At 46.6% G+C, this 24,677-nt stretch overlaps 1 protein-coding gene across 11 annotated transcripts in view, besides 1 other annotated feature; it reads right to left on the bottom strand.

Annotated features, from left to right (window-relative positions):
• Positions 1–24,677, bottom strand: part of KAZN (kazrin, periplakin interacting protein) — a 1,225,220-nt gene that overhangs the window by 508,977 nt on the left and 691,566 nt on the right. For 6 of the 11 annotated variants that reach the window (XM_011541074.4, XM_005245795.6, XM_011541080.4 and 3 more), the window contains exon 3: positions 9,844–10,084. In XM_011541074.4, the coding sequence (XP_011539376.1) occupies positions 9,844–10,084 (241 nt within the window). Of the gene's footprint in view, positions 1–9,843; positions 10,383–24,677 lie in introns of those variants that run through there. The other 5 variants (XM_047415845.1, NM_001437721.1, NM_201628.3 and 2 more) reach the window with 3 other exon arrangements.
• Positions 9,556–9,715: a silencer, noted in NCBI's record as "silent region_292". NCBI's record gives its function as "represses an Ori minimal core promoter by ATAC-STARR-seq in GM12878 lymphoblastoid cells {active_cell/tissue: GM12878}" and the evidence as "EXISTENCE:reporter gene assay evidence [ECO:0000049][PMID:35858748]".

Below are 24,677 nucleotides of genomic sequence, written 5' to 3'. Positions count from 1 at the left end.
ACGCTCTATGGTCCCACAACTGCACTCTCCAGGCCCAGTATCAAATTTCTAACTCTCCTACCTTGCCACCATCAAGAAACGGTGAGCGTATTCTTGCCAATTTCAAATGGCAGGAGTGGGGATTAAAAAAAAGAGATGACATTAATCCCACTGTGTTCCAGGTTGCACTTGCCAAATTAAAGCAAATACGCCATGTTCAATGGTTTAAATACACCATGTTTAAGTCAATCAAGGAAAATGAACGAATTCATTTGTTGCCGCTGACCAGAAGTCTGAGACCTGGCTGCGAAGATGATACAACGGGTGAGCTTACTTTAAAAGATGCAGGTATGCCTGTCCTGAAATTCACATCTTTTTTTTTAACTCTCTTTGAAAAGAGGACAGAAAAGCTATTATTCAAGATCTAAACCCAGTATCATCCACATCTTCCTTCTCCTTAAGACGCGCTCTTTCTCTGGGGGAGAAGGTCCCAGGTAGTAGCTGTTCTCTGCAGTGTCCAATTCCAATCTATCCAAACAGTTGTACTTTTTAATAATCTATCACAGCCAGTTTTAACCCCTAGTGGTGAAATTAGTGTATTTTCCAGCCTGTTTTTATTACGTATTACCATTGTCATGCACATCTGTGAAGGCTCCTGTATTTGTCACTTCATTGTCTATTTTTCCATTACACCCATCTAGACCTTTATTAGAAAATTATGTTTTCATGTCAGTTATACCTATGAGGCTGTGAGTCCAAGATAACTCAGTCCCCATCTTATTAAATCTGTGGTCTCTGGGCCTATGTGCCCAATCTCTCACAATAGATGGAGACAGAGAGAAGCGAGGAAGAAGAAAGGAAGAAAAAAAGAGGAAGGGAAGGCGTTAAGCAAAATAGCAAAACCGTCCTACTGGCATGTCTTTGGGCTACCTGATAGTGACATCTGGATATTCTCGTCTTAACGAAGCGAGCAGATTTCAGGGTCAGTCAAACGTGTGAACCTGTGTTCTAATCCCCTGTTTTTCTGTTCACTAGTGGACTACTTTCCAGAGCTTGGAAAAGCAACTTAACCCTTCTAAGCTTCAATGTCTTCATCTGTGGAATGGAGAGGATAACAATATCTAACTCTCTGTAATATGAAGGTAAATTGAGGAAATGTTTGTTGAGCTCATCACAGTATCTGGGAAAGCCTCAACGAACACTGGCTATTGCTCTTATTGCCCCCTTGGATGATCTCAAAAGTCACTCTGCCTCCCCAGTTCTGATCCTGGAACATCCCTTTTGCTAAAAATGAGCCATAACCCCACTAAGAAGCTCTGGGGTCCACTGTTCCCTTTCCCATAAAGGTAGGAAAGTCAAGTCCCCTCTGCGATTCTCTTTGGTCACAGCCCAGCAGTGAGGCAGAGAGAAGAGATTCTCACGTTTGAACATGGCTCAGCACTAAGCAGTCCTCTTACCTCTGGCCAGACAGGAGTCCCTGCTGGCTACGGATTCTTCAGAAGTGACAGAGCATATTTTGTCCAGCAGAACTCTGAGGATTGACGATGAATGAGTTAGTGTCTGACATGCAAATCCTAATTATAATTGCCACAATGCCAACATTAGAACAATAACAGTTTCTTGGGCAGTAATGGGAAAAAGGATGCCAAGCTCCAGAGCATCCTGGTGGAGACGCCAGGCAGTCTCTGGAATCACACTGGCTTGTGTTTGTATCCTGGCTCTGCCACTTGCTAGCTCGGTGACCCTGGGCAAGTCATGTGACCTTTGTGTGCCTCAACTTTCTCATCTGTAAAATGACAAACACTGTACTTACCTCATAAGGTGGTTTAAAGGATTCGTTGAGGTATTATAGGTAAAGAATTTGAAACAGTGCTTGTTATATGGTATGTAAGCACTCAATTAAAATCATCTATCATTAAATCAATGATCCTCATGATACCATGTATAAAGTAGACCAAAGTCCACACACCCCATCATTTAGTATTCACCCATCCATCCATCTATTCATTCAGCAAGTATTTACTGAGCTCTTACATTATGTACAAAGCACTGCTCTAGGTGGTGAGGATACAGTAAAATATAGATAAAACTCCCTGACCTCACAGAGCTGTCATTCCAAGACTAACAATTGAAGTCTCCCCTAACACCACTGCATAAAAAGCAGTTCGCAACCAGGGATAATTTTGACCTGAAGGGGACATTTGGCAACTTCTGGAGACATTTTTAGTTGTCACAACTGGAGTGTGAAGGGTTCTACTGTCATCTAGTGGGTAGAGGCCAGGAATGCTGCTAAATATCCTACAACACACAGGACAGCCCCCTGAGAACACAGAATTATCTGCTCCACATGTCAATAGTACTGGGGCTAAGAAACCCTAGCATGAAGGTATCTGTTTGAGGTTAATAAGTCCTCTGTTGGGCATGGTCTTGGGGTGCTAGAGGCTACTGAGGCCACAGAGAGAGAACTCAGGCAAAAGAAAAGACATGGGATGGATGGAGAATAAGGCTGCCACAAGACTCTGGCTTTGCCTGGACTCATCCTTCCCAAGAGAGATGAAACACACGAAGTCCAAGAAATTGGAGGCTCCAAGTCCAGGATCAAAATAGTCCTTTTTATTAGTGATAAGTGGCCCCTGGGCTGCCAGTCTTGCAAACAGAATCCAGTCCCTTCTTTGTCAGTTGATGGCTGAGAGGCTGGTTGATTGCCTAACTCTCAAGCATAAGACTTTACCGTAAGGACCCAGGAACTACCACCAGTCTAGGGAAACAGGAGTTTAATCAGGAGTAGAGACAAGGCTACAGCTCCCTGAACCTCCCTAATGCAACAAGCCAAAGGATGCTTCTGACTTAGGAGGCAGGGCAGAGAAGCATACACAGGTTTAAACAGCAGAGAGACCTAGTGGGTTTGCATTCCTGGCTCAGTCATGTGGCAGTTGAGTGATCCTGGATGTCAAAGTGGAATGAATAAGAACACAGACTCTAGAGCCAGAGCTTGGTCACTTCCTGACCATATGCCCTTTGGCAAGTAAATGTGTCATCTCTGTGCCTTAGTTTTCTCCTATGGAAAATGGGTACGAGCATGGTACCTGCCCAATAAGTCATTATGAAGACTGAATGCATTCCTGAAATGCATTAATCCAGAAAATCACTTAGAACAGTATCTGGCTCAGAGTACACACTATGCTGAAGTCTGCTACTATCATCCCCATTGTAGTCATCACTATCTCACTGCAAACAAGTGATTTAGTTTCTCTGAGACTCAGTTTCCTCTTTTGAAAAACGGGCATTACATAGTTGACCTGGAAGAACATAGGTTTGAATTGTGCAGGTCCACTTATATGTGAATTTTCTTCCACCTCTGGCACCCCTGAGACAGCGAGACCAACCCTTCCTCTTCCTCCTCCTCCTCAACATGAAGATGATGGGGATGAAGGCCTTTATGATGATCCACTTCCACTTAATGAATAGCAAATATATTTTCTCTTCCTTATGATTTTCTTAATATTTTGTTTTCTCTAGCTTACTTGATTTCTCTACTTAATTATAAAATACATAATACATGGGGCATAAAAGTATGTATAAGTCAACTGCTTATGTTATCTGTTAACTGTTTATATTATGCTATGTTTACGTTATCATAAGGCTTCCGGTCAATAGTAGGCTAGTAGGAGTTAAGTGTTGGGGGAGTCAAAAGTTATAGACAGATTTTTTACTGTGCTGGGTGGGGGCCAGCTATAGTTGTCACCTCGCTGGCCTCAGGATTCAATAATGCATGTTAAGCGCTTGCCAGGGAAGTTGATATATTGTAAGTGCATATTATTATTTATTAAAAAGTTTGACCAAAGCAATGAAACCAGTTCTCATTTACTGCTACATTAAACTATTCACCTTGACCAAAGAGAAAGAAACTACAGGCTTCAAGATGGTCCCAGAATCCCCAGCGTCTTGTGGCATGCCCAAAAGGTAAGTTCTGAGAATAATAATAGTGAGGTATGCAAAGATGAGTGGAGAATATCAGCTTCTTTAAAAGGGGCGCTCTGTTCTTAATGACTCATTACTTCACACAATCTGTAGAGCAGAGGTAATATTGGGAATGGAAGGCCTTTACATCCCCACAAAGGTAACATAGCGCTTGCTGTGGTGGAAGAGGACAGAGGAGAAGGGAGCTGGGCAGGACACCTCCTCTCCCCAACTTCTCTCCCCTCTCCAGCCTGACTGGAGAAGTGGGCAGAGGCCCTGGGGCTCTTTGCTTGCAGGACTGCCTGTTCCAAGCTCCATCTGAGCTCCTGTGCTGAGGTCTCAATTCATCAGAAAGTAAAGGGGCAGGGACCTTTCAGAAGCCTGACCCAAGGGTCTGACATGACCCAGCCAACAAAGCCCGCAGAATAAATTTAGCCCCAATGATCTTGTACCACACAGCAGCCACCTGCTCAAACAGTTGTTCTTGCCAAACTCATTAAAACTATGTTCAGCTTCTTTCATGTTTCCAGCAGCCTAGGACTCCAAGGGGGTAGCAGGAGTGCCCACAGAGCACAACCTCGCCTCCACCACTTGGATCAAGGTTGCATCAAACAAGCAAGAATGTTCTGGTGTCGTGCAACCACACGGGGAGGAAGAAGGCGTTCCTTTCCCTGATCTTCTTCCAGCTTCTCCACAACTGAGATGGGCCTGGCAGGGGATTTGGAGGGTGGTGGCAGGGGAACTGGAGAGTGGTGACAGGGGTCAGCAGAACTCTTAGCTGCTATGAATCGTCAGGTATGATCTGCCCCTGTGGATGGCCACCCTGTTGGCTTCGGGAAAGATGTCTTTTCCTAAATCATTCTTTCTGAACCCACTATGCCTGCAATTCAAGGCACCAAGGCAGTGCAATGACTGCTGGCGGTGACACTCCTGCCATATTTTGTGCTACTCACCCTAATATGCAGCCCAAACACTGAGACCTATTTCCACGTGCAACATCACTTAAAAACCCATTCTCTGGGCTCAGCAGGCAGAACCCCCTGATATATGGCAGGGGGTAAGAAGCCAGGGACCAATGTTCAGGCAAACCATTAAGGTATGGAAAGAACAGAGGAGTTCGTGTTGATTTCACTGTCCTTACCTACATAGCCCAGGAATGAATATATAGATTTATAATACATAAAGAAAACATGCAGTGAATGTGGCCAAATCCCAAGCTTGACCTTCTGGGCCCCATATGATATGCACGGTGAGCAGGCAAAGTTCCAATGAGCTCTTGCCACCTGCCAAGCCCATCTGCTACAAACACACTGGCAGCCAGGAAGTCACACATTATAACCCTATAGGATTCCTAAAAAGTGCCAACAGTCTTCTTGAGGAGTAAGAGGGTAAAGGGATGGAGAGAGGGCCTATCATGCCTTACCCTGGAAAGATATGTGACCAGGCTCCTGTTAGATGAGTCAGGTCAGCTCAGACTTCTGGGGTGCATCAAAGAGGTGTTGGAAAACCACTAAAAATCATGAAGTGCACAATGGAAGCATGAAATTAACCAGAATCAGAGACTTGACTTAAGAGGTCCTTTGAAGGCATTTTCCAAAGACAATGGAAAGATAGTAAATAATCCCCAATCAATAAGTAATTTCAACCACACTGTACTGATCTGTAAGTAATCTCTTTGTGACCACACATGACAATTTTCAGGGAGAAGACTGAATCCCCATCCCATGACAGGTTAGGAAAAGACACACTCTATTTTAACCCCTTGATCTGGCTGGAAAACCATGGCGCAGGCTACTTGCTGAGCTCTGTAACTTAGTGGCAAGCTAACAGAAGGCCCGAGATTCCCCAACATTTTGTTCCATCCTCTCTGCCATTTGAAAATTCTCTTTCTCAAAAAAGATAAAAGTCTACTTAGGAAAACAAGAGCAGAGGCAGAATGAATTGAGAAGGGGATGCCAAAAGACAGAACTTACTTTGCAAAGCGACAGTGTCTAGCGTCTCCACAGACTACTCACACATTCAATTCACTCCAAAGGTAATTTATACTTCACGAAAGAGTTTCCAGTGTTGTAGTAATGGTAGATGAGAGCTGTCAGGCCTTAAGTAACAGCCTATTTTAATGCCTGGAGAGAAAAATACAACTTGCACGCATTTATGGAAATGTACAAAGGTACAGGAAACCGACCCTTGCCTCCATCCCCTTCTAACAAATGCAGTAGGCAGGAAGTCCTCCACACCAAAGAAAGATGCTATCAGCACGTCCACTTGCATAGGAATACAAATACAATTATTTCTTTAACAAAGAAAACTAATGACAGTAGGCATACATCCTACTGGGCATTAAGTATTTTGTTATATACAGTTAACACCTATTTGAATTGGGTACCATAGCACTTAATTGTTTTGTTCTATGCATAGCAAAGCAACCAACTGAATCTAATATTAGTCATTCATCAGCTGATAAAACTTTTTCAGAGAAACAAACTGCTACATTTTCCCCTCAAAGAACAGCAAGCATTTTAAACACATTTTCCCAGAGATGTTATGCTGAGGAAAACAGCTTAGAAATGTTACTTTAAACAAATCCCTTCTCTGGCTACCAACAACAAGATGAATTGGAACAAATGCTTGGCTCTGTTCTTTCCAAGCCTCCTTCTGTCCACCTGTCAAAGGCTGCCGTGACCCCACCGACCCAAAAGGCAGCCTCTGGAGCTCTGAAATGTGTCACCCTGCACGGACGCCCTCTGCACTGTACGCCAGCATTCTCATTAAGGATTATCCAACTCAGTTGCAGGAGGGAGAGACAAGATGGGCTGGCTGCCAGGAATTCTTTCAACACAGATTCCGAAAGAATATCCTCCGAAGTGCCGAAAGCCCAGATTTTCAGCAGTTCACTTTCTAGATTCTGTTACATAGCAACCATGCCAGCTCACAGGGAGTACCAACCAAGTTAATATTTTGTTTAAATGACACACTGCATTAACCCGCTAGGAAAACCCAAATTTTCTTCATCAAAAGGGGATACCAACCTACCTACTGCCCGTTGTCATCCCTGGAACAAAACAGCCAATGATGGATTGATGAGTTTGCTTCATTCATTTAAAAAAAGAATTTAAAAAACAAAAACAAAAACATTTGAAAATGAATCTAACAGTCTCTTGGCAGAGGAAGCAAAAGGTGACTCTTTCCCAAAACCATTTGTACTAATATTGTTAAAGTTACATTAGCATGCATTTAATATGTGCATAATGCCCTTTCGTTAAAAGATGACTTACACGGTTGCATTTTGAAATGCAAAGATACTCGTTTTATTCAAAACCTTGATTTGAAAACTGATAACTCAATAGCACTTAAACACTCTTAGGGTCTGGGCCCATTGAACTGCACCAACACAGACAAAATGAAAACACAAGACTAATTTGGAAGAACAGTCAGAAACCCTGAGGAGCTGAGCCTCTGGGAGCCTCCCTGGAGGTGTATTACGAAGAATCAAGTGGAACCCAATCAATTGCACTTTAAAATTAACTTGTGTGAGAACTCAAGGCTTCTTTTTAGGATAATGAAAGCAATGGCAAAAGAAACTACCAGACCACCTCTGCAGAGGGTTTCTGTGCTAGCAGGATGCTGCCACAGGCTATGAAAAAAACAAAAACAAACAAAAACAACTCCCGCCCCCATCAAAAAAAAAAAATCCCCCAAACTTACAGAGGCTAAATAATGTATCAAGTACTGTTGCTACAGACAAGTAAATGATACCCCACTGAACTTATACGGGGGCTTGTTTTCTTTTCAACCATCACATCTGTTGAAATGCATATCAGTTTAGACGGTTATGCGGCCAACAATCAAGTAGAGTTTAAACCTTTGAACATTTTATTTTCTGATTATAAAAATCACAAAGTGCCCCTAGGAAAGATTTTGAGACATACCAATGTACAAAGAGGAGAAATCAAGACCACCCTTCATCCTACCACCCACAGCCAGCCACTGACATGGGCAGGCACAGTCCTGAGAGCGTATGGGAGCTGCTGGTTTTATGTGTTTTTAAGGATATCCAAGAGATCCAAAAGCCATTTTCATTTCCACAGCCCTGTGCATTTGTGTAGGAAAAAAGAACAAGGAATCAGCCCCCTGTTGCTCCACTACAACAATTTAACCATCCGCGAGTATGTCAGTTTTCAAGTTGAGCATGTGGACATCATTACTGCGTTGACTGCCTTAGCCTGCCCAGTCTACAACCAGACCCAGGACTCAGATAAAAAGCCACTTAACTTTTCCTTCGCGGAGAAAGGGGCAGACAGTGGGAAATAAACGAGCATTGTTCAGTGTCCTTTACTATACAGCTTTTGATTCTTAGCAAAATGCCAGTTCTTAGCTATTTCTTTAATGTTAGCAGAGCCTCTGCCTATAAAAAGTGAAGCATTACCTTGCAGTCTGTCTTTTTTTTTTTTTTTTTTTTTTGCACAGGTTCCAGTGGAGAATGTTCTTTCGCACACAATGACATTGCAAGGATGACAAGAATAACCACATGTCAAGCTTGCAGCAAGCACTAGGACCACAACACCTTCTCACCATTACGTCATGGCTACTTCCTTACCAAAGTACTCCCCCCAATTCCTAAGACTTCCAACAGGCTCCGGGAGTACCAAGTTAAGATCTGACTTGGAATTCGACATAAAACTGCACGTGGGCAGGCTTCACATCTCACCTCAAAGAAAGCACACCTTCCCAGGAAGATAAGGTGGAAACAGAGACTGATGGAGAGAACCAGATTCTTAGGAAAACAGACTCTCTCAACCCTCAAGAGAAGCTCTTGAAATGACAACAGAACCAGAAAATCATTTTGAGCCACTGAGCAATTGGTACCTTGCACTTCAAGTGACATATTTAGACAAGTGGACCTCATGGACTGGAGATTTGTTTCTGTCCTGTTCTGGATTTCAGCAGTTTAATTTGCAATTCAAATGATATTAATAACCAGTGATACTGTTTCTTAAAGGGCAATTAGGCAAAAAGAAAAAAAAAATCCCCCAAAGCCTGCTTACCCTTTTACTTTCTAAGTCACAGAAACCAAACAGTACATTTTAGGGAATGCCCCATCCGCCTTTATGTCTTGCAGGGGGTTTCAGAGCTTAATCTCTGTCAATGTGAACACAAACCAACTGTCTTTTTCTTCCTCTTCTCTAAACCGCAGAGTCCCTTCAAACGGGCTCCCTGCAGCCCACCACCCTAAGCCTTCATTTCTCTACCGCTCAACCTTTGAGGTCTACAGTATCCCCCTGGAAAGTGCTCTCGGTGTTTATATTTGCGGAAATTTAAACTCCCTGCTGAGCTGAGCATCTACTGTTGCATCTATAGATTCCAATGCCTGAGAGACCTCAAATGAGAAGAAAATAAAGTCCAGATGCAACTGAGCCAAGGGATTTGGCATCCGCGGAGAAAAGTGCACAGCAGTGCAATCCTCTATCCCAACCACGGCGGCAGAGCCCGGAGCTCTCTCTGGGAAGGAGCCTAAGGAAGTGGGGGGAACTGTGCCATTCACCCCTGCGGGGGGTGGGGAAAAGGCCCCGGCATGAAAAGTTTGCACGGAGCTAGGGGGCTGGTGCCACGGAAAGGGCACTTTCTGATGCCGGAAGGGACCCGCCGGCTGCGCCTCGCTCAGGCTGGCCGGGGCCGGTGTGACCGTGTGACCCCGTGCACACTGCGCTCGGGTTTTCGTGAATGACAGCAGCCTGCAACTCCCAGCCGGAGAGCAGCGGTGGCCACCGCCGGGCGGAAAGGGTTACAAGCCAGAATGCAAAGCGATTTCGCCCCGGGTGTGGGGGACCCCGGGTCCCCGGCCACCTCCGAGGCCGGGCGTGCTCTGCTCGCCTTCCTCCGCCCTGGGCGCCGGGGCGATCCTACCTTGCGCTCCAAGCTGGGGGTTCTCCATGTTCGTCGCCGCCGAGTCCCCCGCCGCCGAGGCGCTGGCCGCGGCTCCCGGGCCCGGGCCGGGGCCGCCGCCGCCGCTCAGTTCCGCCAGTCTCCGGTTGGTGGCCGTGAGTTCGGCTCGCAGGTTGGTCACCTCCTGGCTGGCCGACTGGACCGCCCCATCGATGCGGAGCGCGAGCTGCTTATTGTCTTCCATCATGCTCAGGATTTTGGCCTGGGGGCGAGAGAGGTGACAAAGAGCTGCATGATGCGCGGGGGGCGCGCGGCCGGGCACCCCCGGCTCTACCTGTTGTGTCCTCCGCGGCCCGGCTTCGCCCGCGCCCCGACCCCCAGGCACCGGCAGCGCCGGTTCCTCCGGCACAGGAATGACAGCGGCGCCTCCAGCCCTAGCCGCGGCGGTGGCGAGGCGGCGGGGGGAGGAGGCGGAGGAGAAAAAAGAGGAGGAGAAGGAGGAGGAGGAGCAGCGATCGCCGAGACCCCGGCGGGCGGGCGCCGAGAGCTGCTCCAAGAAGGACACCGCGCGCCACCAGGCACTCTTTAAATGGAGCCTACCATTCGCCGCCGGCTCGGGAGGGGGTCTCGGTCGGAGGCTGGGGGCACCCTTGGCCTCCCGCGCCCCCGTACTTCGGAGACACACCCCCCGGGGGGGCGGAGGCGGCGGACGGCAGTCGGGAGGGGGCCAAGGTGGCGCCCCTGGCGAGGGGCAGGGGTCGCCTGGACCGAGGCCGGCCCTCTGTCCCCTCCCTTGAGCGGTGGGGCAGCCCCCGCCCTGGAGAACTGGTGCCCCGAGCCGTGCTAAGGTTGGGGAGGTGCTGGGTGCTCGGAAGAGAGGGTGCTTGGAAAGGGGGCCTCAGAGGGGAGCCGGGGTGGATCTCCATGGAAGGGAGACGCTTGCGCCAGCTCAGGAGTGGAGTTCGTGCTCCACCGGTTCCTTAAACTGCGAGTACGAAATCCCCAGAGGGGAGCTGAGCTGGTGCCCCGCGTGCCTCTCACTCTCCACCCCCCACCCGCAGGCCAGACCTGCGCTGCCCACCCCAGGAGGGAGCGCCTATCTTCCTCGGCGTGGGCCGCTGGTGCTCCCGCCTCTCCACAGCCCTAGCCCTGTGTGTGCATCCAGGTGGAGGAGCAGCCTTAGCCAGCTCCTAAGCTTCTTAGCCGGGCTGAATATTGGCGGGGACAGAGATGAGGTTGAGAGATAAGAAGGAAGGCGTCGATGGGGCTTCTTCCCTTTCTTCTACTGGGAGCAGAAGAGTTGAGCCCTGCTGCCTCAGTTTACCCATCCCCTCTTCACAGAAGAACTGAGGTAACCTGACGTTGATATGCCCTCTCCAGCTCCTCTTTCTCTCCCAGACCACAGGCTTTGCATTTTTCACTGGGGCCCTGGATTCCAGCCACCAGACCTTGTTACCATAGCAAACTTCATTCCATGCAAATAGGACAATTTAAAACAGCCAGCAACCCTCTGGTCAACAGGGCGCCATCATTCCAGCTCAGTCAACCTCCGGAGAGCAGCAAAGAGCAGATTGCAGAAGCCAGTGGGGTGCTGCGAGGAAAAATGAGGCTGCCCACCCTTCAGGTTCTTACAGGAAGCCCATAAGAACCAAGCAAAAACTGCGTGTAGAGTGCTTTTATATGCATTCTTATCTCTTGTGAGTGAGGATTATTATTCCCATTTTAGGGATAAGGAAACTGAGGCTCTGCATAGGGTTAAGCAATTTACTTAAGGGGCCCGCAGAAACCAGGTGACAGCGGGACTGGAAGAAAGTAATCATCTGATTGCAAGTTCCTCCTGCTGCGCCTTCAGGAGGCCTTGGATGATAGATTTCTCCCCCCTTTTCTGTGGAACCATAAAAACAGTCTTGCTCCATTCCCCTGTGACCACTAACAAGCTTTTGCAAGAGGGCAGGATTTGATGGTGGAGCATGTGGCAGGAAGACACAATTCTTCACTCTGTCCGCTCTGCTCAGCTAATGGGTCAGTTCGGGGATCGAACCCTGACCTTAACCTCATTAACACAAGTTCTTACCAACTGGACCAACCAAGGCACTTAGAACTGCTTAGTGTATCTGCAAACCAGGATTCAGTTCTTTGCAGTCTTTCAGTTACGTTATGGGGAGAGCATCAAAACTACAGAGCTGTGTGGGTCTTGAAAAGGGGGATGCCGTGGTGCAGCCATTGTGGAAAACATATTAGCAGTTCCTTGAACAGTTAAACATAGGATTACCATACGACCCAGCAAATCCACTCCTAGGTATATGTCCAAAACAAATATCCAAACAAAAATTTGTACATGAATGTTCATAGCAGCACTGTTCATTAGTAGCCAGAAGGCAGAAATAACCCAAATGTCCATCAACAGATGATTGGATGAACAAATTGCAGTATGCAATGGAATATTACTCAGCCGTGAAGAGTACTGATACATGCTACTACTACGTGGATGAAGCTCCAAAACATTATGTTAGTTGAAAGAAGCCCGACATAGAAGGTCACATATTATACGATTCAATTTATATGAAATATCCAGAATAAATAAATCCATGAAACAGGAAGCAGATTGGTGTTTGTCAGGGGCTGTGGGGAGGGAAGAATGAGAAGTAACTGCTTAATAGGTGCCGGGTGTTACTTTGTGCTGACTGATGAAAATGTTTTAGAACTAGACAGAGGTGGTGGTGGCACAACACGGTGAATGTACTAAGTGCCATTGAATTGTTCACTTTAAAGGGCTTAATTTCATGTTATGTAAATTTTACCTCAATCAAAAAGTCATATATGCAAATACACAAATAGAGAGGATGGGAATGTTTTGGAACTAGGGCTTCTGAGCAAACAGTTAAGAGTAGCTCTATTTAGAGGGCCGTGTGTGTGTGTGTGTGTGTGTGTGTGTGCGCACACGTGTGCGTGCACTCACACCTCTGGTATAGCACTCAGCAGAAGAAACAGTAATTTATCTGTTTATATGTCTCTCTCCCACTTCACTGGGAACTTGTGGGTGGGGGAAGGAGGGTTATCCGGCTTTTTATGTCATTCATCTTTGCGTCCTTGCCGCCCTAGCCCGTAGTAAGTGTTCTGTAAATGAATGCGTGTGAGTGTGTTTGTGTAGTAAACAAAGTGACCCAGTGTTACTCATTTTGCTCTTCAGTGAGATTATTCCCACACACCGGAATCTTCAAATCAAATCAAAACAAAAAAATCTAATAAGGAGAAAAGAAAAGACTCATTCCTTGAGCCCCTTCTCATCCCTCTATTTTTGAGGTTTCAAGAAGCTGCTTTAGAAACTCCTGGGGTGCCTCCTAGGATTTTAAGAATTTTATTTTTTGAGAGTTTTTTTTCCTAACATGAAAAAAAGGGGCTTTTTCCAGTTGTGTGTCCTTATGTTCACCCACACACCAAAGGACTAGATCTTAGATAGAAAGTCTGCAATCAATTAGCCTCTGCGGGTATACTTGATTTAAACCAAAAAGGTCTACCTTTCTTTTTTCTTTCTTTTTCTTTTTCTTTTTTTTTTTTTTTTTTGAGACGCAGTCTTGCTCTGTCGCCCAGGCTGGAGTGCAGTGGCGCCATCTCAGCTCACTGCAACCTCCGCCTCCTGGGTTCAAGGGATTGTCTGCCTCAGCCTCCTGAGTAGTTGCGATTACAGGTGCAGGCCTCCACACCCCTCTAATTTTTTTTTGTATTTTTAGTAGAGACAGGGTTTCACCAGGTTGGCCAGGTTGGTCTCGAACTCCTGACCTCAAGCAATCCACCTGCCTCGGCCTCCCAAAGTGCTGGGATTGCAGGCGTGAGCCACAGCGCTCGGCCGGGTCTACGTTTCTTATCCCCAGGCTTTACCACCGCTCCTCCGGAGGTGACCTCAAGGAACAAAACGGTTGCTATGTTTAACTTTTCAAGGAACAGCTAATATGTTTTCCACAATGGCTGCACCACGGCATCCCCCTTTTCAAGACCCACACAGCTCTGTAGTTTTGATGCTGCCCCCCCATAAGGTAACTGAAAGACTACAAAGAACTGAATCCTGGTTTGCAGATATACTAAGCAGTTCTTTTTTTTTTTGAGATGGAGTCTTGGTCTGTCTCCCAGGCTGGAGCATAGTGGTGTGATCTTGGCTCACTGCAACCTCTGCCTCCCGGGTTCAAGCAATTCTCTGCCTCAGCCTCCCGAGTAGCTGGGGTTACAGGTGCCCACCACCACCCCTGGCTAATTTTTGTATTTTTAGTAGAGACGGGGTTTCACCATCTTGGCCAGACTGCTCTTGAACTCATGACCTTGTGATCCACCTGCCTTGGCCTCCCAAAGTTACACCAAGCAGTTCTAAGTGCCTTGGTTGGTCCAGTTGGTCAGCGGAATCTGTGTCCCCTCCCACTGGCCTAACCCCCTCCTGCAAGCCCATTTGCCTGTCTATGGGGGCTGATAGGCGTTTACCGCCGGTGTCCTGGGACACACCTGCAAACTGTTGGGAGAAGGATTCCAGAGAAGTCTGTCATCCACAGCTGTCTCTCCATGGGATTCACAGCTATGAGAATTTGGCAGTACTGTGGGTTCTGTTTCAGGGTTCCCCCTTTTGCGTGTTCCCCAAATAGTCCCAATCTCACACCCCAGTAGGCTGATGTTAAGAACCAAGACAGAAAATGGGTCCACTTCATAGGGACTTGCTATCATTTTTCCACTGTCACTGCTGCTATCACTCTCAACCAGCCCAACCCCATCCAAGGTCCAGGCCTCGGCTCATATGTGGTCACCAGCCTCTACGTACATTGTCTGATCTTTCTGAGCAGAATAAGCCAACTGTGCCGTGTGTGTTTGTTGCCCATCAAAGCTTGCCTGGGTATTTTGAAAAGTCTGCAAAACCAGCTTCCCTGTAGCTCAGAGAAAGGAAATTCCTATCAAGAATCAAGGCTAAGGGCCTAACCCATTGCTGACAGCACAGCCGTATGCACCTCCCTTTTCCCAGAAATAGAGTGACCTCATAATATAACGTCAAGACTGGGATGCTGCTGAGAGCAAAAGAGGGCGCAATGAGTAATTGAATTAAGCTAAAACAAGTGGCATACATAGGAATTGTCCCAGGAAACCCAGTATATATGGTTGCCCTACTCTATGATTGAATGACGCTATTTGGTCCTAGAAGGCAATGGGGATTGTCTACTCTAGTGCCCTCCTTATTTACAGACAGAGAAAGAGAGACCCCAGATTTAGGAATGAACCACGCAGCTTTGTCAGTGAAGGGGCTGGGAAGAATTTAACCAGGGTCTTCAGAAAATGGCCCATCTTTCCACTGATGTGTGTCACGTGGCACTTCCTAAATTACACCCACAGCCTTGCATAAACTGGCCACTGACTTCTTGCACCACACCACTTGCTCACCACTCTCTTGCCACTTAATTGTTTCTGACCTCAAGGTCTTTGCCTTTTCCCTTGCCTCTCCCTGGAACATTCTCCCCCTGGCTCTCTGCATCTGATTCCTTTTCATCCCTCAGATTTAACATTCAACATTTACTTATTTCATAGCGTATATGGCCATTGGTTATTGTTCTGTTTATTTATTTGGGAATTTGAAATACAGACTGAAGGATTTGAGAGATAAGTCCCCAAGAGTTTGGCTCCCTGGGGTGAAGGTCTTTAAACTCCTGGGGTTTCCAAAACAATCCTGCTTATTCTTCTTTGTCTTGGATTCCATGGAATTCCCAAGAATAAATGCCCTTTTCTTGAGCTAATTTGATTATTTCTATTGCATGCAGTAAAATGCCCTGGCTAAAACTACTCCGTCCCTCCCCCGCATGTACCCAATGAGCCAGACCGTGAGCCTCAGGAAGGCAGGGTTTATATCCCATTCTGCTTTCTGCTCCCCCTGTCTGGTGTGATAGATGCTTCTCCAAAGAGTTTGTGGTTGATTGAACAAATTCATCTTCCTTGTCCCCTACAAATTCATATCCACAAATATTCTCGCTACTCTCATTAAAACCCTTCTCATATTCATTCAGTCTTCTCCAGGAATTCTAGTCACATCTTAATTTTGCAAAGCACTTTCACAGTTCTCTTATTTTATTCTTGCGACAACTCCGTTGGGTAGAGAGGGTACTGGTATCTGCACATGGCAGATGAAGACACTGAAGTTAAGAGATCTGTCCAAGCATCACAAAACTGCCTGCACTTCCTTCCACCTCTTATCCCTTCAGTGCTCAGCACATACTTGTTGAGTGGATAAGCTGGGGGCCAGGACTCAGATACTCCCACATAAAGCCCAGTTTTCTCTCCTATCCTATCAGAAGCATCGTTTCTGCCTAGCTCAGAGACCAGAGGCGGCATTCATGCATTCCACCTGGTAAGGCTGAGTGATAAATCCTGGATTCCAGGAATCCGTACGTGGGACAAGGTGGAAAGGGGGAAGGCTGAAAGGGAAGCCAGTGAGTGATGAACTTCTTGACCCTGGAGTCAGTGCCCTGAGAAACTCTCATGCTTCTTTGGGTTGGCAAGTGGCTGCTTGCAGGAGCCAGAGAGAGAGCCACGAATGGGGTCCTGCTCCCTGCAGCCAATGTTGAAGGCCACTTCCTGCAAACGGTGTCCCTTCCTAGGCTCTAGCCACAAGCCTCTGGTCTTCAGTGTTTCCCGAAGCGAAGATGAAGACCACATGACATGGAATTCTCAGAAGCTGCTTGTGAAAATGCAGAAGCCCAGGCCCCACCCCTGATCAACCAGAATCCCTGGTGTGGTGCCCAGTGTCTCGATATCTGCATTTACAACAAGCTGCCCAGGAGAATCTGATGCGTCATGAAGTTGGAGACTCACCGGTCCAGACACCCAGATGCCCAGAAAACACTGAGCACGTGTGAAATATGTATATGCCAGGAGCCTTTTGAGCCTCAGGAGTGGCTGTGAGAGCTTCCTGCTCTCTGTTTTCTGGATCATATCTGTCCTGTGTGCCCTCCTCATCCCCCTCCAAGAGACAGTCCTTGGGGAGTTACCCTCCCTCTCCACAGACGGAGTCTCTGTTTATTCAAATTGTCACATGTGAATCCTGGCCTATCTAGGAGATGAATTTCTTGTACATTTACATGGTTTACTTTGTCTGAGTGGGTTTTAACATGTGCTCTGGGGAAAAGGGCAACAGATCTCCAGACAGGAGCGGCCAAGGCTCAGGGCTGTGAGTGAGAGGACCAGGAGCAGGGAACAGAGCCGTAGAGAAGTGTGCAGGCCGCGGAACCCCAACAGCTATCCTTCTCCTATTCATCACCCTCATAACCACAGCTATGAAATGAAAAGATGGAGAAGAAAAGATACCAGGAGGAAAAAACAGGGGAGAGGAGTGTGGGGCTTAAAGAGACAGCCAGCAGCTATAAGATGGAAATCTATGCGTTCAGTGTTGATGAAACACACGCACACATGGGCGCGTGCATGCACACACACCCCCTAGTATATATCAGTGTGGACACACAGCAGAGTTATTAGTGTAAAGAATGACAAGCTCCTCCTGTCTTCCCAAGCAATCTCTCATCTAAAGCTGGGAAAGTCGGTCAGGCGCATCCCTTCTGTGTATATATTTAACCAACTCAGTTCCTTCTGCAGATTTTTCATTTGCAAACAGTCCTTTAATAATCACTTCTAATTCAGAAGCTCCTAGGTATGAAATTGATAAATATTAATAGACATTCTAACCACAGACTTAAACACATAAGCATATATACTTAAAGTCTCTAATTCCTTGGTAGAAGTGCAAGTGCATTTTTTTCCCTCCTTGAATCTTTCTTGGTGTGTGTGTGTGTGTGTGTGTGTGTGTGTGTTTCTTCTTTCCCTGTTCGGGGCCTTACAAGAGAATATGTGTGCTGGCCTGGGTTCTCGACTCTGTCACAGCCTCTGTAAGTGACAGGGAAAAACAACCACAGCCAAGCAAAATATATAACCCAGAGACAAATATTTCCACCCTCAGAGAAATATCACTACACTCCAAAGACCTGGTTCAACCCCTGGGCATCTTGCCTGACTGACCTCTTGCCCTCTCATGCGGTGGCTGTGTCCATGGGGGGGGGGCACTATTTGATTTTCCAGCAACCCAGAACAGTTTCTGAGAGGTCCCCCCAACAAAGCTAAAGAGGATAGGGTCAAGTGTTCTAGCCACTCCTACACTCTCCTAAATCTGCTCTAATTTCCCATTTTAGCGAAGGCACCCTCTCTACAGCCTACTAGCAGGAGGATGTTAGCTGACGTCATCAATGATCTCATCCCGCCTTTGGTGTCGGGGGAGGGGTAGCTCCAATGCATAGGCTCTAGACTTAGTTAGGCATGGGTTTAAGTCCAGCCCTGCCACGTACTAGTTCTGAGACACTCGATGAGTTGCTTACTGTCTCAACTTCCTCACTGGGAAAATGGGAATAATATTGCTGCTGATTTCATAGACTTGTTGAGGAATTAAGAGAGATGATGCATTGGAAACCATCTGGAAGAGTGTCTGGTGCCTAGAAAGAAATTAATAGATGTTATCGGTGATGGAGATGATGGTGATGGTGATGAAGACCGTGGCTGTAATAGTTGTGATGGTAGCTCTCATTCTTCAGGCATCCACTGTGGTCTGCCAGTTTGCTCAACCATTTATTTCTACTAACTCAGGCTGAATCTTCCCAACACTGAGGTCACCATGAGTAAAACACTCAGGCTCAGGGGATTTGCTCACATTCACCTAGCTAAGAGGTAGAATAACCAGAGTCACACCTAGGTGTGCCCAATTCTAAGGTTTCCACCTTTTGTTTCTTTCTCATTTCCCCCTCTAATACGTGAAGTCATCCCTGCACTCGCTGAGGCAGTGAGAGACCTTCTGTGTCCCTTCCAACCCAATCCCCTTCACTCTCTGCAAAAGGTTCAGATCTGAGGCAGAAGCAGAGGAGGGAGCTACTCCTCTGTGGCTGGTGCATTTGTTATTCCAGGCCCTGGGGACCCATTTGGTAAATGAGTTCTTTTGGCTCATAAAATGGTACCCCAGTGATTTGAAACACTTAACACACCTACCCTAAATGGGTAATTTATTTTTTTGCTCACTGGTAGTGTTATTATTCCTGTGATCTCTATTCTATAAAAGTTGTTTTTGATGCTTTCTTGGAGGGTAGGGGGCTATTTTTAAACAGAGGTGCATTCGATTTGGTGAGGAGCTGAGTTTCATAAGATGAAACTCAGGCATCTCAGGACGCCTTTATCGCCCTACTTTGCTCTTTCACATTTATTTATTTAACTAAAATGTATCTTCAGGAGGAGAGTTTTCCACTCATTTCTACTCAGGCCCCCATTCTTTTCCCAGATTCTTATGGACTTCTGCTTCCTTGAGTTCATTTCTTTCTACTCCCAGGATGCTTTACTCACCGAATAAGTCCTCTTCTCTTACGAAAAGTACTTTCTCCCCCAAATATGTCACAAAGAACAGCGTGAGCCCCCATTCAAGGCCACAGAGGAAACATTATATTAGGTACCACAAGACCAGAGGAATGAAGACTCTAACATCCCTTGATGATTTATTGCAAAGGGGTCTCAGATCTGACAAGGTGCACCATCTTTCTTCAGGAATTGGAAGCAGTGGTAGTAGGAAGCGGCCGTAGATCTTGTCCCTTGAGCCAATACTAAATTATTCCAACACCAAAGTGCCCCGGGAAAAATCTGTATTTGCCAAATGGTGTACGCTGTATAAGTCAGTGTGCCATGAAGGGCTGTTCCTGCAGCCATCTGCCCTAATATTCAGTACTCACTGTCCAGTTGTATGCATAATTGGAAGGGAGATATTTTGTTCAATGGCCGACTTGTTAGGATGCTGTGTCTATAGCCAGCCAGGTGCAAAGCTGTCATGTTTATCTTAATTGACTGCCCCCCCTCCCTTTTTTTTTTTTTTACCTGCCTTGTTTTATGCTGAGGAGGTGTAAAGCAATTTACGATATCATATTTGGAACTCCAAGGCCACATTATTAGGTGTCTCTGCAGTTCAAGAGGGAGCTGTGTTGCTCATGGCAGTATCAGCTATTTTGCTTTTGATCATATCCTCAGCCATCTTGGTAGCAAGATGGTAGGTACTCTGACAGCTTCACCCAGGAACAGCCAGCTGCCGATGTCTTTCCTTTTGAGAAAGAAACAAGTAGATTTGACTTAGAAGAGGGCAGGTTGGGAGGTAAAAACAAGTACCAAGGGGAGGGGCTCAAGTTTGCCCTTCCCTTGCCTGCTCTGGTGTTCTGCATCCGTGCCCATGGCCCCAAACTCTCCTCCAGTTACTGGCTCCACGCCTAGGTCCTCAAAACACTGGGACCGCAAGTGCAAGAACGTACCTGTCCAGGCTCTGAAACAATTGTCATGTATTCAAGAGATGAAACTGTCTAGAAGAAAAGAAACTGAGCTTCATTCTTCCCCTGCCAGTGAGGAACCCCGAGGGAGTCCTGCAGAAAGCCAGGTTATAACACTGGGAGCTTGATACCTTCTAGGCAGCTTTGGGGAAGAAAAGAAAGACAGATCCAGGTTCTTGTCCTGTCATTCATTAGGAGGCATCAGACCAAAGTGTGCACTTCAATGTCTCTCAAAAGACGGACTGGCTAGCTCACGGACACCTTTGTGCAAATTAGAAAAATATTTGCCCCCTTCTCTCAGGCAAACGGAGCCCTGCTGGGGGGCACAGACTCAGAGGATGGAGCTCTGGCACTCAGGTGCGTAAGTTCCCTTCGGAAGCTAAGCAGGAAATGATCATACATATCACTGACCAGTGGGATTTCCACCTTCCTCACTCAGAGGGTATCTAGTTTCTATTTTCAAGATAATTTTGTTGCTAGCGTTTTAATTCAAAGTAACATGTACCTTCACAAATCTATGTATGCCTTTACATGAAGAACACTGAATGAAGATATTTTACATTAAATTTCAGCAACCATATACCTCTTTTCTTTCTTGAATTTGTCTCAACTATCCAAGAAGAGGCTAAATGAGCTGGTAGATTCAAAATCCAGATTTGCTTGAAAGTGCTGTGGGAAGGGGTGCTATGAAAATGAGAAGTGGCAATGATTCTTACACCACACCCGGTGCTAAGTACTTAATGTCAACCCTATGAGGAAGAAGCTACCATGATCATCCCCGTTTTACAGAGAGGAGAACTGAGACTCAGGAAGGTTAATTTACTCCCCCAAGGTCTTACAGCTCAAGAGTGGCAGGGCTGAGACTCAGCCACAGGCCACAGGGATGCCAGTGGCCCCCCTCTTACTACTTTTCTGTATGGCCTCCTTCCACTCAAACGCAACATGGGTGCTACTGAGTTGAAAAATGTAATGAAGATGGGATTCATATACACACCTGAACTGAGGATGATGTTGGAACAGTCATCTTTTTTTCTGGGGAGGTGCGTAGAAGGGGAATGATATAGTGTGGTTGTTTGTCCCCTCCAAATCTCATGTCGAAATGAAATCCTCAGTGTTGAAGGTGGGGCCTGGTGGGAGGTGATTGGATCATGGCGGCCGATGTCTTATGACCGACTTAGTACCAAACCCTTGGTGATGAGTGAGTTCTCACTCAGTTAGTTCACACGAGATCTGGTTGTTTCCGGGAGTACGGCACCTCCTCCCTTTCTCTCTTCCTCACCCGCCCCCCACTCTCACTCCTGCTCTGGCCATATGACATGCCTGCTCCCACTTTGCCTTCCACCATGACTGTAAGCTTCCTGAGGCCTCACCAGAAGCTAGCACCACACTTCCTGTACAGCCTGCAAAAGTGTAAGCCAGGTAAACCTCTTTTTTTTTTTTTTCTTTTTTTTTTTGAGTTGGAGTCTCGCTCTGTCACCCAGGCTGGAGTGCAGTGGCACAATCTCGGCTCACTGCAACCTCTGCCTCCCGGGTTAAAGCAATTTTCCTGCCTCAGCCTCTTGAGTAGCTGGGATTACAGGTGCATGCCACCACACCCGGATGATTTTTGTATTTTTAGTAGAGATGGGGTTTCACCATGTTGGTCAGGCAGGTCTCGAACTCCTGATATCAGATGATCCACCCTCCTTGGCCTTCCAAAGTGCTGGGATTACAGGCATGAGCCACCGCGCCTGGCCCCTTTTGTCAATTACCCAGGCTCAGGTATTTCTTTGTAGAGACTGCAAGAACTAATACAGGGAAGAATGAATATACGTGTAATTATTAATCTTCTGCTTCAGGGATTCTTAGCTTTACCATTGGGAAAAATCTTGAGCATTCTGTGGTTCTCATAGCTTCAGCAGTGTGGATTTCATTTCCTTTACGCACACCTCTAATTTTAATTGTCAGCAAGTGAGGAAAAAACATCACCCAATTTGTGGATTTTAGAATTCTATATCTGGAAGGAACCTCAAAGTTCATGCTTGCTTTGAACTTAAATGTTGAACTGTATTAAACTGGCATTTGATTGATGCCTACAATCCCAGCACTTTGAGAGGCCAAGGTACGAGGATCACTTGAGCCCGAGAGTTTGAGATCAGCCTGGGCAACAAAGCGAGACCCTATCTGAACAAAAAGTAAAAAAAAAACATATCTGGGTGTGGTAGCACATGCCTGCAGTCCTAGGCATGTGCTTTGGGAGGCCAAAGCCGGAGGGTCACTTGAGTCCAGGAGTTTGAGGCTTCAGTGAGCTATGATTGTGCCACCGCACTCCAGCACCTGAGCAACAGAATAAGACTCTATCTCTAAAAAAAAAAAAAAAAAAAACCAGAAAGAAAAAAGTTCATGCTTAGTCAAACAGGCTTGTTTTACAGATGAAGACACTGAGACCCAGAGAGACAATTTAACTTGCCCAGATGACCTACACATGGAGTAGCAATTCTTACTATTACTATGATTTGTTTCTGTTTGTTTAAGTGAGCCCAGGACCATGGTGGGTGTTCAGTAAACATTTGTTGAACCGTATTAAACTGTGGCGTTTGATTGATCCATCTGTGCGGCACATCACAAAAACAGACCAGCTCTACTTCTGATCACTCTGTTTTGAAAAGCTTCTAAGCTTAATATGAGGTGAAAACCTCCACTAGGAAGCATTCCTTTGATCTTACACTTCCTTTCCTTGAAACTGATAGCAAACTTGGCAACCGAGTCTTCCAGAAATTAATAATCAAACTTTACAAGTCTTCTTTGGTTATCCCAACAATTTACAACAAAAAGAAATGAAACATTTCCTACAGCATCTCCCCCTCTCCCTTCCAACACCCCCACTAGGGAACAGCTGTGTCTGTTTAAAATTGATTTTGATCTCCCAGGAGGGACCTGGTTTCTTTGCACACGGAGCTGCTGCCTCGAGATGGCGTGTGCAGTTCTGGGAAGGTGTTGGGGTTCAGCTGACTCTGCTGTAATTCTAACAGACAATCAGCAGAAGCCCATCTTCCCTCGGGGATGTGGGCGATGTGACACTTTAGCTGACATCGGTGCGGTGGGCTGGGACGTTCTGCTGCCTCAGGAATCTTTCGGCACCCTCTCCTCATTCCCCTTGACTATTGGTGGTAGACTGGATTTGTGTTTGTCATTCCTCACTCCTTCCCATTCATAGTATTACCCATCTATCTTGCCTTTTGCCTCGTTACTTGAAGTAGGTGGAGTACCTTTCCCTGACCCCCTGATGTTAGGCTTGGGCATGTGACTTGCTTTGGCCCCTGGATTGCTAGTGGGCTTGCAGCAAGCAGGGACCTTGAATGTGTTCACACTCTTTGGCTTGGCCTCCTCTGCTCTGTGATCCTGCGTGGGAAGAACGTGCCCCAAGTAACTGCCTTAATGTTCAGCTCTGAAATGCAGACATATGGAGCAAACCTGAACCTGGCCTGAGGTAAACCCCAGCCAAGCCCTAGCCACGTCCTGCCATTGTGCAGATCCACAAATGAGAAAAATGAATATGGTTGCAAGCCACTGAGATTCTGAGGCTGTTTGTTGCACAGCAAAAGCTGACTAACACATGATTGAAATTAGCACCGTCCCTCAAGGGTGCCATCCTGCCTGTAGTACTTTGCTAGGCAACCATAACCAAGAACCACCGACTAGGGGGCTTAACCAACAGAAATGTATTTCCTCAGAGTTCTAGAGGCTGGAAGTCCAAGGTCAAGGGGTTGGCAGGGTTAGTTTCTTCTGAGGCCTCTCTCCTTGGCTTGTAGACAGCCACTTTCTCCCTGTATCCTCCCATGCACATTCCTTTGTGCATGTCTGTGTCCTCATCTCCTCTTCTTGTAAGGACACCAGTTGTGTTGGATTAGGACCCACCCACATGACCTAATTTTCTCTTCATCACCTCTTTAAAGACCCTATCTTCAGGCCAGTCCCAGTGGCTCATGCCTGTAATCCCAGCACTTTGGGAGGCCAAGGCAGGAGGATCACCAGAGGTCGGGAGTTTGAGACCAGCCTGACCAATGTGGAAAACCGCATCTCTACCTAAAATACAAAATTAGCCAGGCGTGGTGGTGCATGCCTGTAATCCCAGCTACTCGGGAGGTTGAGGCAGGAGAATCGCTTGAACCCAGGAGGCAGAGGTTGCAGTGAGCCAAGATTGTGCCATTGCACTCCAGCCTGGGCAACAAGAGCAAAAACTTTGTCTCAAAAAAAAAAAGACTGTCTCCAAATGCAATTGCACACTGAGGTACTGGGGGTAGGATTTTAATCTATGAATTTTGAACAGGTACACTTCGGCCCATCACATTGCTTGCAAGTGAAAGAAACTTGGCAAGCACTGGTTTAGATACCAAGGGGAATTTATGGCTCTCACAACTGGGAAGTCTAGAGGCAGAGCTGACTTCAGGAACTCCAGCAGCTCCAGCAATGCCTTCTTGCTCCTCTCTGTGGAGTGGCCTTGTTTCTCATCCTCTCCTG

Source organism: Homo sapiens, chromosome 1 (assembly GCF_000001405.40).
Source record: "Homo sapiens chromosome 1, GRCh38.p14 Primary Assembly".
In the NCBI taxonomy this organism is placed as follows: Eukaryota; Metazoa; Chordata; class Mammalia; order Primates; family Hominidae; genus Homo; species Homo sapiens.
The sequence above is the reverse complement of the archived record's forward strand: the minus strand, read 5'-3'. Positions and strand labels throughout refer to the sequence as shown.